Source organism: Homo sapiens, chromosome 7 (genome assembly GCF_000001405.40).
Source record: "Homo sapiens chromosome 7, GRCh38.p14 Primary Assembly".
Classification (NCBI taxonomy): domain Eukaryota; kingdom Metazoa; phylum Chordata; class Mammalia; order Primates; family Hominidae; genus Homo; species Homo sapiens.
Window position 1 is genome coordinate 106,261,853 of NC_000007.14, and position 17,294 is coordinate 106,279,146.

The following is a 17,294-nucleotide window of genomic DNA, read 5'->3' on the forward strand; positions in this document are numbered from 1 at the left end:
TCTAAAATTTGGTCCAGTGTACTTTAAAGGGTTAAAGTACATTAAAAACAAGCATGTTATTTCCTATGAAGTGAATTCACATCATAAAGTGGCTCAAAACAAGTTTTTCCCCTTAGACCTTTCAAATTATATGGATTCAAGGAAAAAAAAATCCTTAATATTAAATAAGTATATTTTAAAGAAGTATATAAAGCATTATTTAACAAACTCATGATTATACTTTTAATTTGGACTTATTCTGCTTGTGCCCAATGACTTTGGTTTTTGTCTGATATATAACTCCAATATGAATCCAGTTCAATCACAAAGTTCAGAGAAACTGTGAAAGGCAGACACAGCATCTAGAACCCATAGTCTCTAAGTTCTCCTTTGCTCTTAAAGCCAAACTGCACAATACACAAATCATCTTACTCATTCACTAACTACTAAAAGTTTTGTACACCAAATTAAAATTTCTCAGAAAGCTTGGTCATATAAACAAAAGAAATACATTCTCTTCCCACAACAATCATTTCTTTTTCCTAAATAAACTGATTAAAGATTCTAACAAAGAGAAAATTCCCCATTGATGAAATCAGTTTCTCATAACTAGCTGTGTACATTTTTTATTACGTAACAGTAAAAACATGAAACCTATCAAGTTTGCTAAAACCAAATATTGCAGGCTAAGACAAGACTTTCAGATTGGCCTATCATTTAATAGAATAAGAAAAGACCTCCTTAATTCTGTTTCCCTTTCTTAAGGGGTAAGTATCATCTGCTCATTAACTGACAAATGGTGTGGTCAAGTAGCAAGGCTGCAGCCAAAAGACCTACACTGGATATCTGACTCCTTATCTTTCATGTTGTGTGACCTTGAGCAAGTTACTTTAACCTTTTTAAGCCTCTGTTTTTTTCTTCTATAACAGAGACAGTAATATTTATCACTGTTTTTTTTTGTAGAGATTAAATGGCGTATCTTATGTAAATCACCTAAAATATTTTTCTAGTAGTAGGCATCAAATAAGCCTGCTATTACTACTTTTTGAAGAAGATAAACCAAGTCCTTGAACATTAACAACAAAAAGTAACACTGCTACATTATGAATCAACAGTATTTCTAAAGAACCTCCACTTGAAGAGTATTTTTGAATTATTTTTATTCCACATCACCCTGTTCCTATTTCTTCTGTGCTAACAACTTCAAAGGTCTAGCAGTGACTTATGCTGAAAAAGAAACAAACTGCAAATAAGTTTGGTGCCCAAATCATAGGATTAATTAAAATGGCAATGCTGTTAATTAATTTTGCAGGTAAGCAGAAAACAAAATATCTATTCAAATGTCTAATTGACAGTAAAACAATCCATAAGTCTTGGTATCCTTCTGTGCTATTACTGTGTGACCTCAGGCAAATCTATTACTCTCTCTGGGCTGCAACTCTAAAATAAAGGGGACTGGTCCACACAGCTCTGAAATTGTGTGTATATAAATGAAAAGTAGTATTGATGCAGCTGGCCTACAGAGGGATTCTAATAATAAAGTTACATATGAAAATTTACCTTTAACACAGTGTCAAGAGGGTTTCCAGAATCAGGTCTGATTATTAGTGGTGCCTGTGTACTTCTTGATACTATTAAATGTCTTAGATCTTCACCCCATATTTTCTCACACGCATTATAAATGTCATAGCTATCGCTGACCACAGATACAGGCACTGATGAAAACTGTGTTACAATATGTTCAAAAGCATCTTTTTCATGGTCTTTCCCCCAAGCTGTTATGGTACTAGAAAAAAAAATGAAAACACAGATTTACTTAGGCAGACACTTGATCTATCCCTGAATCACCTTTAATCATATCTCATGTTTACTATACCAAACCATCAACATCACAGAGAAGGTGAGTGACTTAGTTTAATGAATATACATCGTAAGGCAAATGAAGTAGCTGGGTCAACCATACCTTACCCAATTAGTTTTTAACGCTTTAAGTAGCCTTACTCCTCTTCAATGGTTAAGTTTCTAACCTCGTATTTTCAACCAATTATCTGTGTGTGTGTGTGTTTTCTGGTATTCCTGAATCTACTCATTTAAAATCAGTCTAACTAAAAAGCACTTGCTGAGTGCCCTTTATACTGTATGTCAAGATGTTAGAATGAATACATATTTCCATTATTTTGTTAGGCAATGAGAGCACCTGGCTCCCTTCTGTGAATTTTTGAAACTATATACCAATAATAGTACAGACATACATTTTGTTTTTTTACCTTTCAAAATCTTATACTTAGAGGCAATTATTTATACTATACCATACATACATATAGTCAACTACCTGTTATATTTTCAAGTGGCTAGTAATAGGAAGTCATGTATTTTGTTTGCAGATTATCTACTACGAATTAATATATGCCCAGGGAATAAGAATTCAAATACTTAGTTTAAGCAAAACATAATTAAGATGGAAAATAAAGTATGAGAGTTTCTATTGGATAAGAATGGTTATAGTGATTTTTGCAATGTCCTTAATATCAGTTCTTACGGGATAGATTTGTATTCAATATGTAATTATAGATTGGGTATCGCTTATTTGAAATGCTTGGGACCAGAAGTATTCTGAATTTCAAATTTTTTCAGATTTTGGAATATGTGCATTATACTTATCAGTTAAGCATCCCCAGTTCTGAAATCTGAAATCCAGTTCTGAAATCTGAAATGCTCCAATGAGCATTTCCTTTGAGCAAAAAGTTTCAGATTTTGGAGCATTTTGGATTTGGGATGCTCAACCTGTGTAAATATTTGTTAATATATAATGTAAATAATTTTAAAAGATCTCAAACAACTTAATTTTGAAAATTACCATTTAATTATGCCAAGCAATTGGTCATTCTCCCTAATTTTCTAGTCCGCCTCTAATCTGTTCTCCTCAGTAAATAATAAAAAGATAGCACATTCATTTATTATAAAGCCCAAGTAGGTATAAGTTTAACTCATAACTGTTTGAAGAGTCAGACTTTATGTCTGAAATAATCACTTTATACAATGTGTGTGTGTGTTTTTTTTTTTAAAGGACTAGACTTAGAACCTTTCCCCATACTGTCAATGGTATACCTGGGGTAGTGCAGCATGCACATTTCAAGATTGTAAAGACTACTACCCGAATCCAAAATTGAGAGAGAACCTGTTTATATAAAACTCATTAGTGAACACTCTTCTTAACAGCTACAGAGGCTGCCAGTAGCTATGATGTCAATTCTCTACTTCATGCATCTGTAGGCTAAATGGAAAATTAAGATATGACTGAAGAGAAGCTCCTCTTCATATTCAGGTCTGCAACTTTTCTCTTTAAAAAGGAGAGAATTAAGATCAATGAATACCAATACTGGAGAACTTTACAACGTATGAATTAACTCCTACAGTTAAGGGGTCACTACTTATAACGTTGTATCAGTAAGTCACCTAACGATCTACTTGTATCATGTCTAGCAAACTTCACTGTCCCCATCTTACTTGCTTTCTCCATGACACCTGAATTTTCCTGATGCTTTCTTTCTCTTGACTTCAATGACATCTCCCATGTTTCACCTTTTTTCCCCTATTTCTATGGTTCCCTTTTCAGTCTTCCCAGATGCTGTGCTCTCCTTCTTTAATCTAACCTGTCAGATGGCAATATTTCTCATAGTTCTGACTTAGGCACTTGTCTTCTGTAACATACCTTGTGTGAAACACTCAAAAGCTTAAAAAAAAAAAAAAAAAAAAAGTCCCTGCATGAGGGTTTCCAGTATCTGTATCTTAGCCTCTGTTTTTCTTCCAGGCTCTGGATCTACTTTGTTAGATAGAAAGTTGAATATCTTCATCTCAGCATCCCACAGATACTTGCTCTGGCACTCTCTGTCTAGTCCAATCATAACCTCTATTCTTCTAGTACAGTATGTGATATATGAAGATCATAAATAATCAATGAATTCTACCAATGCCATAAATCCTAATTTCAAGCACCAAATTAAATTTGATACCTTTCCAAAGTTTGAGAAAAAAAGCTTCTGTAATTAAATATTTTTAGGTGCAGATTCATCTATTAAGATACATACAATAGTGGTAAACCTCTAAATTTATAGAGTTCTCTTATTTTAAAGTTATTTAGATAGTAGCTCATTTATCATCAATGACCTTGTCATGTTGGAGATGTAAAACTTTAGCTCCTCCTTTTGTTTGGTTGGATGGAAGAAATGAAGAACAGAGAGATAAGTGACTTGCCCAAGGCCACCCACTATGTCAGCCGGAAGGTCACCCAGGTTTCCCAACTTTCAGTCCAATCCTCTTTTTGCTATACTACGCTGTTGTTTAAAAGACATTCTATTAAGAACATGTGAGGCATTTGAATATATAAGGAGTCAAATTTTACAAATGCAATCAATATGAGACCATAAAAATAAAATGGATTTTTATCCCTTGCCCACATACAGTATCCTTTTCATTTTAACAAGTCCTAAAGAAGATATTATCCTTGTCCTCCGTATCATGATGTTACTACTTTGAAATAACCATCAACGAAGAGTCTAATATGTGCATACTATGTTAGATTTTTAAAAGATGTATGTACATCTAAGGCCAAACTAAAAATAACTCTTAAAACTTTGTTAAAGACACTCTTATTTTCCCAGTTTCCTAGTCTTGAAAGTTGTATGTAAAAGTGTTCAACAAGGCCTTACTAATACAATGCTCATAAACGTCAGCTGAATCTATTTTCTACTGAGTCCCAACTCAAATTACCAACTTTGAGCAATTTTATCTCCCAAGCCATTGCTCATGTTTACCTATTTCTTTCCATTTATTTAGCACCTTGGTCTGGACTTCATTACCTTAAGACTGCTGGAATAGCTTCCTATAAAGACTACCTTCTGATTTTTCCTTTTTTCAATCCATAGGATAGATATCCTGCTATAAAAATATAAAAAAGTCCCCTAAGATATTTATCTCATAACATCACGTCTTTGCTCAAAAATGTCAGTGCCTGCTTCCATTTGAAAATGCCTGATTTAGAATAGCTAGCATGATGTGCACATAGTTAACATTCAGTGTCAAAATATGAGCGCCCTTACTAACCTGAACCTGTCTTCTCAGTCTCCCCTACGCTCCCTACAAAATCTGTGTTTCAGCCCTTATTCTCTAAACATTCTCCCTCCTCTTTCATTCTTGTGCTTTCATCACAATGCTTGATACAAGATAAGCATGCAATAAATATTTACTCAGAGAATGAATAAGTGCCCAATGTTGGCTATTAAATTTTACCAATCCTTCAAGAAGTGAAGATTTTGTATATTTCTATAAAAGCTTTCTTGATCCTGCTAGTGAAGGAATATGATTCTTCCTCTCCTTCCCTTGCAACACTACAGCATTTTAATTGTACCTCCTTACGAGGAGTTAACCAACAGAGCAGACTATTACTAGTGTATTATTTTCATCCTGAGAATAGGGTCAGTTTTTTAAAAATATCCTTCTAACCCTTGTTGCACCCAGTAGACTGCCTTGCATATGAACACCAGTCAACTAATATGCCTCAAATAGTAGCAACAATAAAGCTTAGCTTGATTCTAAACTCACTGCTGGTTTTAGCACTCTGCAATTTTAAGTATTAGCAGAACTTAAATATTCCCTAATGATTATAGTAAATAATTTTGTTATAAAAGTCAGTGATAAGGTTTGGCAAACATTTAAAAAACCTGATTTACGCCGGGCGCGGTGGCTCACGCCTGTAATCCCAGCACTTTGGGAGGCCGAGGCAGGCGGATCACGAGGTCAGGAGATCGAGACCATCCTGACTAAAACGGTGAAACCCCGTCTCTACTAAAAATACAAAAAATTAGCCGGGCGTAGTGGCGGGCGCCTGTAGTCCCAGCTACTTGGGAGGCTGAGGCAGGAGAATGGCGTGAACCTGGGAGGCGGAGCTTGCAGTGAGCCGAGATCCCGCCACTGCACTCCAGCCTGGGCGACAGAGCGAGACTCCGTCTCAAAAAAAAAAAAAAAAAAAAAAAAAAAAAAAAAAAACAACCTGATTTACTTTTAATAAAGTTAGCTCTAGGACCAGAGCAGCTGCAGTTTAGATTGTAATTTCTTTCTTGGGTAACTGGAGATAGTTTACTGAAAGCAGACAAGGAAGCGTAAAAAGAATCTGAACACCCTTTCTTTCCTCAACAGGTCCTGCTTTCTCATCTACAACTGAAGGTACAGTACAGATGACAATTTCTAGGGCAAATATAGATAAGGTCATGTAGGAGGACAGGGAAAAGGCAAAAAGTGGCTGGTACTTACAGTGAGTGCTTCTAAATTTAATGAATAAAATCTACCTACATATGACAATACAGTAATTGAAAAAAAATTCCTTAAAAGAAAACTTCTATGGCAATATAAGTATTGGAAAAAAGCTCTTAAACTGTTTCTTCTAGCATGGATAAAATTTCTCTGCCTCTCTAAGACTAATGTTTATACTTTTGTATAAATACTGAATTTGTGTTGCTCAAGTTCATGAAGATGTACTGTAGGTACCTGGCTCTGCAGTTAGGTAAAATGTCACTGAGTTACAAATACAAGAGTGAAAAAATTAGTAGTTTTAAAAAATGAACAGAATTTTTTACCTGTGTTCTGCTGCTGGAACAGAATAGCCTGGAACAGGATCTTTCGTTCCATAATATTTTTTAATTAGAGCAAGTCCTGCTACTGTATCTGTTCCTTTGAAGTTAACCAAGTGAGCAGATGCTCCTATGCCAGCAGTCTGGAAAATCAATCATAAACCAAAATCCAAAACAGAAAGAAACCCACATTAATAATACCAGGATGCAGCCAACCACATTTAAGGAATATAGCATAGCTCCCATAAGAATTGTCTTTCTCTTAGGAAAGTATTTATTGTCAGACATAACAGTTCCTAATGACAAAGATTCAGTTTTTCCTAAATATTTTAAAAAATCAACTATTATCTCCTCAAAGAGACCTATTTAACAGTGTCCCACCCCCACTTTTCATCACTCTCTCTTCCCTTACCCTGCCTTGAGCTTCTTTATGGCATTATTTCACATCTGATATATTATGTCTGTTTCTGGCTATCCATCTGTCCATCCATCTAATATATAAAGGACAGGGACATCTGTTGAAGGACATATCCCATGTACCCTGAACACAGTAGTAGGTACTGAATATGTATCTGTTGGTTGAATCTTTGGAATTTTAGAACCAAGATCAATCTCAATAACGTCCCCAAAAGTTTACAGTGGTACTCTAACCAACAATCCACATTATATTAAATGAGGTTGGTTTCAGTTACTTACCTCTTGGGAAGAGACTCCTCTGTAGCCAAAATCATGTAACTTGTATTCCAGACCATCTAAGTTACCAGAAGTTTCTAACAAATATTTGGCCAATATTTTCTTCTGCTCTCTAGAATTTGTGGCCACTGTGATTGGATACCAGGACTGAACAAGAATAGTCTGTAGTAACAAAATTAACCACAAATATTAAGACATAAAATACTGCATTCTTTCTGAGGAAAATCCTAGCTTTTTTTTTTTTTTGGAGGTATGTCCTGAACTTCCATACTATTAACTAGACACAGAACTGCGCAGCAGGATGCCTGCTGTGTGCATTCCAGATATAGTACATAGCTCAGCTCTCAAATCAGCAACAAAGAAGATAAGCACACCAGGTCCACATAGCAGAGAACTTCACATTATCAAGTTTCTATCCAAAGCTTCAAAGAAGCAAATAATATTTTGAAAGACTATGTGATAAAAGGATCAATTTTTAGAAAGTTTCATGATCTGTCATGGATCAATAGTTTATAAAGGACACTGAAACTTGGATGTTGAGGCAATGTCAAATTGCCCCAAGTTTCTAAATGCTTACTCTTCATTTCTGTACTTAATGTGGACTTGGATCAAATAGGGCATGAACCAGCATTGGTCCGTGGACTGCATTTTGACTAGTATTGGTTTAAAGAAGTTGTTCGTTTACTCCTCGAGGTAGTCTCAGATCTAATTTTCTCTTGGATTAATATGACAACTAATACTTGAAGCACTTTAGCTTACTACTAGAGAATTCTATCTACTGAGTTATGCTTTATGTACTTAGCTTTTATCAAATATATAAGTATTTGATAAAATACTCACGTAAGTTACAGGAAACACTTCCGCATATGTTGTATAATCAAGGTCACTGTCTACTTTGTAATTCAGTGACTATTAAGTTCCCAATGAGAAAATGAAAGAATTGCTGGGTTCCTACTTTCTGATAAGAACAGTTCCTTGATTTCCCCTTTTTTCTTGGTTGTCAGGAAGCTCCACAGAAAAGTCTGTCTAATCACAGCAACCGTAATAATTATCATGGCTTAGAAATTCACTTCTTCATTCTAAGATCATAATTTTCTATTTTCATTTTATAAACCAGATTGTTATTTGAAGCAGCTTCAAATCTGTTTGAAAAAGAGCTGCTAAGATGATGCAATGTCTGTGCTGAACCAAAAAGATATTAACTAAATTTTACAAAGCAAGCTTTTACTGAATACCAGCTAAGTGATATATAAATAAAACAAATAAAAAGATTAACCTTGAACTTGCCAATCTAGTCATCTTTTTAAAAAACTACTTTGTAGCATTAGACTCCTGTGACTGATTAAATATGGCCTTTGCAGCTCTTCTCATCAAGAGATGGAATCTCCTTTCTTATCCCTTGAGTCTGTGCTGTCCTTATGATTCGCTTTTGACGAACAGAATGTGGAGAAAGTCATGTGTGACTCCCAAGCCCCAGTTTCAAGAGGTTTTGCAGCTTCTACTCTCATTCTCTTAGAACCCCAAGACTACCATGCTCTGAAGAAACCTCTTCTGGAGTGAGACCCGGTAGTCCCAGCTATCTGACCTGAGGCCCCAGACATGGGAATGAGGCCATTAAAGGATGTCCAGCCCTGGCTGAACCCTCAGCTAAATGCAGATGCCTAAGTCTAAGCAAGAGCAGCAGACGACCATCCAGTCAACCACAGAATCAGGAGAAATAATAGTTGCTTTAAGCCATTAAGTTTTGGGGTAGTTTGTTACACAATAGAAAATCAGTACAATTCTTAAACTCTATAACCAATCACCTCCAACATCTGACCATTCTGCTTCTGAAATTACTCTTTCAATTCCACTGCCAATGCCCATGATTATCCTACCTCTCTTCTTTAGTCTAATTATTCTTCATATTGCCAGTGGTTACCATTCTAAAACAAGTTTTTTTTCTTTTTTTCCAGGTTGCATCTTTCCTTAAAAGCCATTAACGGTCATCTACTGTCCATGGGGCGGAGGTGGAGCTGATTCATACAGAATTTGAGAATCTTGCCTTGCTTACCATCTAAAGGTTTATCTTATACATTTTTCACTTTTATGCTGCAGTCCCCATAGGACTATCTGTCATTCTAAGAACACTGTGCCATTTCTTCAGCTCTTCCTTCTCCTTATTAAAAGCTTATTTATTTTCCATTTCATGATTCCTTTAGACAGAATTACCTATTTCCTGCTACCAACTCAGCACTAATTCTTAATGATATTAGTGGTTAGTTCAGAATGAATTGCCAACTCTCACTCAAAGGCCCTTTAAGTAAAACATCTTACTCTAACTTCTGTGCCCAGCATTTTTTGGGTACATAGCTGGTACTTAATCAATATGTTATTTCAGTCCTAAATATTAATTTAGTTTTAGTATACGGTATAGACTATTTAAAACCTTTATTTAACTGTACCTTTTTTTTGAGTGTATTATTAGTTAATGGCCCATAAAAAGTCTATTAATTTCCTGTCAACTTAGCAAAATGTGTTTCAAACACCCTCTTGGACCTCTTATATTTCGATGTTTTCCAATTTTTATAAGTGAGCCTCAAATGTACTATTTTACAATATAATAGCAAATTACTTTAACCGATAAACTAATTAGTCAGTTCTAAGAACTAAGTAAATGCCACCAGATAGTAAGGTGTTATTTCTATAGTAACTTTCGAGGGTATTTCCTCTCACGGATTAAATCTATTATTAAACTGTTCAGAAGCTAGGTAGAGTATTATTATCAAAACTCTGACCATGTGAAAACATATGACTACTTAGGTATACATACAAGAAAAACAAAAAAAAGGCTCGCAGTATAAACCCAAAGCCCAAAATGTACCCTTCCTGAGAAATTAAACAATATGAACAGCAGATCTTGTTTTATTTAGATGAGAAACTGAAAAGTAACAGATGGTAGATCCTAAGACCTAAACTGATGAGAGAAAAATGAAGAAAGTAGTTACTAGAAGTTGGAATAAAGTTCCTTTAGTCTAACTTGAACATTTATCATTCATCGAATGTCGTAAGTTACTAGAAATGTGCTGTTTTTCTAAGTTTGCTCTAAAATAATACACACTTAAAATGGCAATGAATTAGATGAAAGCCAACTAGGTTTTAAAAACAATCACTCTCAATAATTTGATTTAAACAAAATCTCAGAACATTCTATTCTACTAGAAGAAACCTTAAAGATTATTTAGTCTGTCATTTTATAGATGAGGAAATTGAAGCCTGGAAAGGTTAAGTAAATTATAGGAGATTATATAGCTTTATTAGTAACAAATTCTAAACTGTAATCTCAGTTCAATGGTCTTTATTCAATTAATGTTAAATAAGAATTAAAAAAACAATTTACCTCAATCCAATTTGTAAGCCAGTAACACTCTGGATCTGTGTTTTCCACCGTGAAGAGAACATTTCCTCTGGGAATGACAAAGCCCTCAGGAACAGCTTTTATTTCTATTGGAAGATGCCCATCATACTTCTGGCAGGATAAAATGATAAATTTATTTATTCAACAGATGATACTCAATTCCCTGCTGTTTTACTAAAGGTTCTTTACGTTTTATAGAAGCTAAATTTACTGTCATAGAAATTGCAATTGTAGATGTTACTGTAATCTAGTCAGAATATCCTTATCCTTCTAAAATAAAACTAGTTAAAATTATTAACATACGTACTGATATTAATTTTTAAGTTTAATGCTGCCACGTGCTTCTGCTAAGAACATTTATCACTACAAGTGGCAGAAAATTCCAAACTCATCAAAACCAAACTGTTGCTTCTTCCCTGCTTTTTCAGAAAATGAGAAAGGATGACTTTATTCCAACATATTCTAAAAGTATTCCAAGAACACTACCTTTATTCTAAATTCGTTATTTTCACAAAATAAAGGCTGCAGATTGAAAGATAAAGGATTGCTATTAAAGAACAAAAGAAAACAAAACGAGAGAGAAGGAGAGCTAGGGAAATCCCTGCAGAAGAACCGAAATAGGTTCCCTCTATTCTGGTCGTGGACCTGAAACTATGAGACAGGCCAAACACAGAATCTTGGCAATTAACACTCGAGTATGACTTAACTGACTTCCTCTTAATGTAATAATTGCCTCCAAAATTAGGCTGAAGGTTATTTGTTATGTGACACTGTACCTCCCTTTTAAAGCTAAGAGCTGTGCCTAACTTTTCACTAGGAAGGCAAGCTGTTTCAGAAATCCTGATAATTTATTTATGTGATTTGGGACAAGGTAATTAAATACAAGAAAAATCTGTTTAATACAAGCACTGGAGGCACAGTGTATAGCAAAAAGAACATTGCCCTACAGGTCCTAGTTTGGACTCAAAAGCAGCGGGGAGACCCTGGACTAGTCACTTGCCATCTCTCGGTCTCAGATTCTGTTTGTAAAATGGGGTTAGACCAGATTATCTCTAGAGAACCTTTAGTTCCCCAAGATTTTCTGATCATATAATCAAACGACTTATTGCCCTGGCCACTGGACAGTATAGTAATAAGCATAGTACCTAACTTATTACTGTATTTATCCTTACAACAAACCTCACAGAAGAGAAATGGAGCAAGTACAGGTGATAGCTCACAGATTCTATTGACCTTATTTAAGATACAGGAAAAGTGCAGCACAGAGTACTTACCTGACTTTTTCAAGACCCATAAGTACCAAATAGTATAGCTCAGTATTGTCATATAGGCATGAAAGTTAAAGTATTTCTAATTATTCTGTGTTTGACAGTCTTTTCAATGTAAGAAACTTTCGTTTGTGAGACTTAAAAGTAACACTCAACATCAAGATACGCCAACAGATTCCATTCCCAACTGATCATTGTAATAAAAGGAAACCACCACGGGATATTTAACTCTTATAATTCTATTACCATGTCTTTGAGTGCCTTAATATTTAGGCAATGAATTCAAACATACTAGATATAAATATAATACAATCAAGACTAAAAATCAACTTTGTGGATCAGCACCAAGCCATTCTCACTATACAGTGAGAAACTTCCCAGAATTATGTGTAGTGATAGACTCACAGCATCTATTTTCAGTCAAGAAAACAGACCTACATTTTGAAATTGCCAAATAACCATGCCCTTTCCTACCTATAGTGTATTTTCAAGAATGAATTATCTTTCTCAAAAATGTTATTTAAGTTATAATTCATTTTTATTAATTACTTAGACTTGCTGTAGATTCTATATGCTAATGATTTAACATGGGGGATGCGGGGAGAGGGATAAAATGTCAACCTTAACTTTTCAAAAGGATATATTGGCTATAATATAACTTTTCAAAAGGATATATAATGGCTATGAAATAGCCATTATATTCAGATCACAAACAAAAAAGAACTGTAATGATACTCTAATCTCTTATTCAAATTCTGGCCGGGGATGGTGGCTCACACCTGTAATCCCAGCACTTTGGGAGGCCAAGGTGGGCAGATCACTTGAAGTCAGGAGTTTGAGACCAGCCTGGCCAACACAGTAAAACCCCATCTCTACTAAAAATACAAAAATTAGCCAGGTGTGGTGGTGCGTGCCTGTAGTCCCAGCTACTAAGGAGGCTAAGGCAGGAGAATAGCTTGAACCTAGGAAGCAGAGGTTGCAGTGAGCCGAGATTGTGCCACTGCACTCCAGCCTGGGTGACAGAGTGACACTTTCTCTCAAAAAACACAAAACAAAAACAAATTCCTTTGCAAGAAGTTTTGAACTGAAAGAAAAACCAAAACAGATCAAAAGATGAAACCATCTTTTACCTCAAGAATGTAGTTCCATCCCTTTTCATTAAAGACATCATCTTGGAAATGTTCTTTGTAGACATCTTTGGCTTCCTGGATTTTCTCTTTGGTTACTACTTTACCTAGAAGAATATACATGTCCTGTTTACATTTCTAAAGGTGCATTCTGTGAGTTGCTGAACTGTCACAGACTTAATATCTTTGGCTATTTCACCCATTCTATGGATTAAAAATATAACTAAGAGGTTAAATGCTCACCCAGAGTCAACAGCAGAGTCAGAAAAGGAATTTGTACTTTTAATAACTCAAAGTATAAATGTTTATTTATTGTAAAAGCAGATGTGTAATAGAAAAAATTATTACTTGCACAGCTTTTAAAAATGATATTAACTTAATTTTTTTCTCTCGATTAATTTTGGTACTTTTCAACTTTGAGATGACTCAAAAGCTTCTTACATCCAAATGAAACGTCTCACTTCGTTCGTAAAGAATGTGGCATCTTTAGGGTTGGTAAGTCAGTAATTTCCACAATTACTAAATGTCTGCCCCCCAAACAACACACTTTTAATTAACTTTTCTTATCCGTAAATGAGGATAAAAGTCGAGTACCCACTTATATGATGTTTGTGAGGACAAAATGAGTTAAGACATACGAACCACTTACAATAATGCTGGCCTAGAATAGGTAATCAATACATTTTAGTTATAATTAAAAATGAGTAATATTTTACAAAGTTCTTAAGTTGTATGACTAAATTAAAGTGTGCTATCAGTTGCTGGTAACTTAATACAAGATAACTAGTAAACTCGTTTAAAGTATCTTGGGGCCAGGCGTGGTGGCTCATGTCTGTAATCCCAGCATTTTGGGAGGCCAAGGCGGGCGGGTCGCTTGAGAGCTCAAAAGTTTGAGACCAGCCTGGTCAACATGGTGAGACCCTGTCACTATAAAAAAGTAGCCAGGCATGGTGGTGCGAGCCTGTGGTCCCAGTTACTTGAGAGGCTGAGCAGGAAGGATCTCTGGAGCCTGGGAGGCAGAGGTTGCAGTGAGCCAAGATTGCACCACTGCACTCCAGCCTGGGTGACTGAGTGAGACCCTGTCTAAAAACAAAACAAAACAAAAAAACTTTGGTATTAACTTTGGTATTCTTGCCACTAATAATTACTTCTGATATCTAGCTAGGTTTTCAGTAGTATAAGACTATCTGAACTGCCTAATCTTAAAAGAGTCAAGATTATAGAAAAGAGTTATTGGCCTAAAATTCACCTTACTGTTTTCAATTCTGAAATTGTTTAATTCAAAAGGTTAGAGATAAACTTTTCCAACATGTATAATGTGTTTGGGAACTGTTTTCCCCCTAGAAATGGCCTTTCAAATAAGAAAGCACAGAAATTGGGGGATTTTTGTTTTAATATGCATTTGCAACTAAGTCCAGAGACACAGGTAGTTTTTAAAAATAGGTCTTCAAGGTAAAACTGGCTAATATAAAAATATTCTGATTGCTACCATAATTCAAAAGGAGTTTCCAGTTCATTAACAACTCCTTTACTTTGAATTAATGACTAAAGTATAACAAACAAGATTAGCCTCCAAAAATTAATGACTTTTCTAAACTTATTTCAAAACTTTTAGTTCGGCCAGGAGTGGTGGCTCACGCCTGTAATCACAGCACTTTGGTGGGCCGAGACAGGTGGATCACCTGAGGTCGAGAGTTCAAGACCAGCCTGACCAACATGGAGAAAGCCCGTCTTCACTAAAAACACAAAATTAGTTGGGTGTGGTGGTGCATGCCTGTAATCCCATCTACTCGGGAGGCAGAGGCAGGAGAATTGCCTGAAACCAGGAGGCGGAGGTTGCGCTGAGTTGAGATCATGCCATTGCACTCCAGCCTGGCCAACAAGAGCGAAACTCGGTTTCCAAAAAAAAAAAAAAACCTTTTATTTCAGAAAACTTTTCTCATACTTAGAACATCAAACACACACCAAATTATATGATTTAATGCATCCAAATTAACAGATTTGTTAAAAATTCTAAAAGAACTCCTAAAGGAGTTAAGAGTAATAAGCAGTGTTTAAAATATACTAGGAAAAGTAATACCTTTTAAGTACTTATTAAGAATGTACTGCAACCCATAAAATACTGTTTCCTCATATTTCACCTTCCTTAATTTGGAGTTTTCTGTCTTCTTTTCACGGCATTCAAAGTAGGAATAAACTTTGCTTGTGTTGGGTGGATATTGTTTATAGTGAGTAACCTATGTAAAGAAATACACTTCTGTTAGAAAACACCGATGAGTAGACTATAAATCACAACAGAAAAGGCTTGAAGTTATTTCAAAACCAGAGAAACTATATTTCTTGTTTGCTATTAACCAGTTTCTTTTCCTGGCTATACCAAATAAAAAATAAGTATCTAAGATATTTTCAGAGTTCAGTATCTTAAAACCACAGGAGAGCGTTAAATTTTACATACAAGCACACTAAATCTACTACAAGGCCTCTAGGTTGGAAAAGTATTTCATTTGGTTTTGGGGAACAGTCCTTCATCCAGGCGAAGAGAGAGAGAAGCAGCTGCCTAATGGGCACACACAACAGAAAGGAATGAACTGAAAGACAGCAGAATTTGGTACTGCTAATATCTCAATGTGGTATGTTCCAAAAGTCAATGACTTAACATGACTACTTTACTTGTACAATGAGGTACTGAGGATGATCACTTTTAGCCTTCACAGTGACACTATGAAAACCTGGATGACAGCAACGGCGGTGGCAGCAAAGTAAAGCAGCAAAGTAAAAAAAAATCCTGTTTTGTAATCTCCCTTTGTCAAATCACCCACCTAACTGGAAAATAAATTCTTAAACATCAAATCCTTATGAGTTTAAAATACGAAGAGGTCTTCCTTAGCACAAATTTCTTTTCCATGAACTTGGGTAAGAGCCACCATGTAAAAAATTTATCTGCTTTTAAGAAAGAAAAAGTAAAAAGTGAGTGTTCATTATACTTTTAATATGGTTAAAACATGGAAATAAATTCAAACATTTTACCAATAAAAAATAAAGTGGAAGAATAATGTGTATCTGCCCAATTTCAAGAGTAGGAATAACAGTGCCTTGAGGTTTAAGATACAGGGTGAATCATGGCAATGGCGGAATAAATCTTTGCAGACCATTTTTCATGAGTGATCACTGTGAACATAAATCATTTTTCCTGTTTAGCTTTGATCTCAAGTTCAGGAAAGCCAATGCTGTCTTTGGGTACACAGTCTCAATCTCAGTAAAACTTGGCTCTATCCTCAAGAATCTTCATAGCTTAGTACAAGAATCCTAAGATGAATATATTTCCATTGATGATTCTGAATGAATGTGCTGTTTCCTTGCCAATGGTAGCATACTTGCAACTCTATAAAAATAGCCCCTAATGCAGCACACAGACAACCTTGGAGGTAAATCTTTATAGTAACAAGTGATCTGAGAGTTTAAGTCAAGCAGGAGACTTGGAGCTGTTTTCCTTAAGTACAACAGATAGTGATATACTAAAAGGTACAGGGAAGACTCATCAAAAGCTAGAAGTATATGTCAGGGCTTATTAAGGTTAGAATCCAGGGACTGATCCCACTTTAATAAAATTTAAGAAGTAGCTAAGCAAGATAGCTAATACAGAATCTGCAGCAATGAAATTTATGTCAATTCACTAAAATGCAAAAACAAATATATTTATGAATGAGTCTGTAGTAATAAATATGACCACTACCTCAACTACTTATGAAACTGAAGAAAAAGACACCTCTACCTAAAAACACACCCAAGATGTATGTAAAAATGAAAATGTCCAGTTTACAATGTAAATAACTCCAACTTCTTTAGTGGGACTAAGTAGTGAGATAGAAGAAAAGCACACACGATGAAGTAAAACTTGAAAAATGGTGTGGATCTTATAGCACAAGTTTGTAAGTCTGATTCATAGTTTTATTTCTCCACAGTTTGACCCTTACTGTTCAGGTACTTAATGATGCATTCTTTATCAGATTTAAAATTACTAGAAGGCAAGTTATTTTCTTTTTCTGAGAAGACGAAGAGTCAAAAGCAAAATGGAAATGTCTCTAAGCTATTTAACTCTGTATCTTGGTCTAAAAGTATACTGAAAATGTTCTTTGTACAAATACAGCTCCAGTTCTGGACAATAATTAAATATTTATAATTTTAAAGCTTCAGCTATGTTCTC

General features: G+C 35.2%; 1 protein-coding gene across 3 annotated transcripts in view; it reads right to left on the reverse strand.

Annotated features, from left to right (window-relative positions):
- NAMPT (nicotinamide phosphoribosyltransferase) overlaps positions 1-17,294 on the reverse strand; it is a 37,591-nt gene that overhangs the window by 13,555 nt on the left and 6,742 nt on the right. For 2 of the 3 annotated variants that reach the window (XM_047419699.1, NM_005746.3), the window contains 6 exons: positions 15,171-15,327; positions 13,094-13,197; positions 10,678-10,806; positions 7,302-7,460; positions 6,612-6,748; positions 1,540-1,765 (listed from right to left, as the gene is read on the reverse strand). In XM_047419699.1, the coding sequence (XP_047275655.1) occupies positions 1,540-1,765; positions 6,612-6,748; positions 7,302-7,460; positions 10,678-10,806; positions 13,094-13,197; positions 15,171-15,327 (912 nt within the window). Of the gene's footprint in view, positions 1-1,539; positions 1,766-1,813; positions 3,320-6,611; positions 6,749-7,301; positions 7,461-10,677; positions 10,807-13,093; positions 13,198-15,170; positions 15,328-17,294 lie in introns of those variants that run through there. The other variant, XM_047419700.1, reaches the window with a different exon arrangement.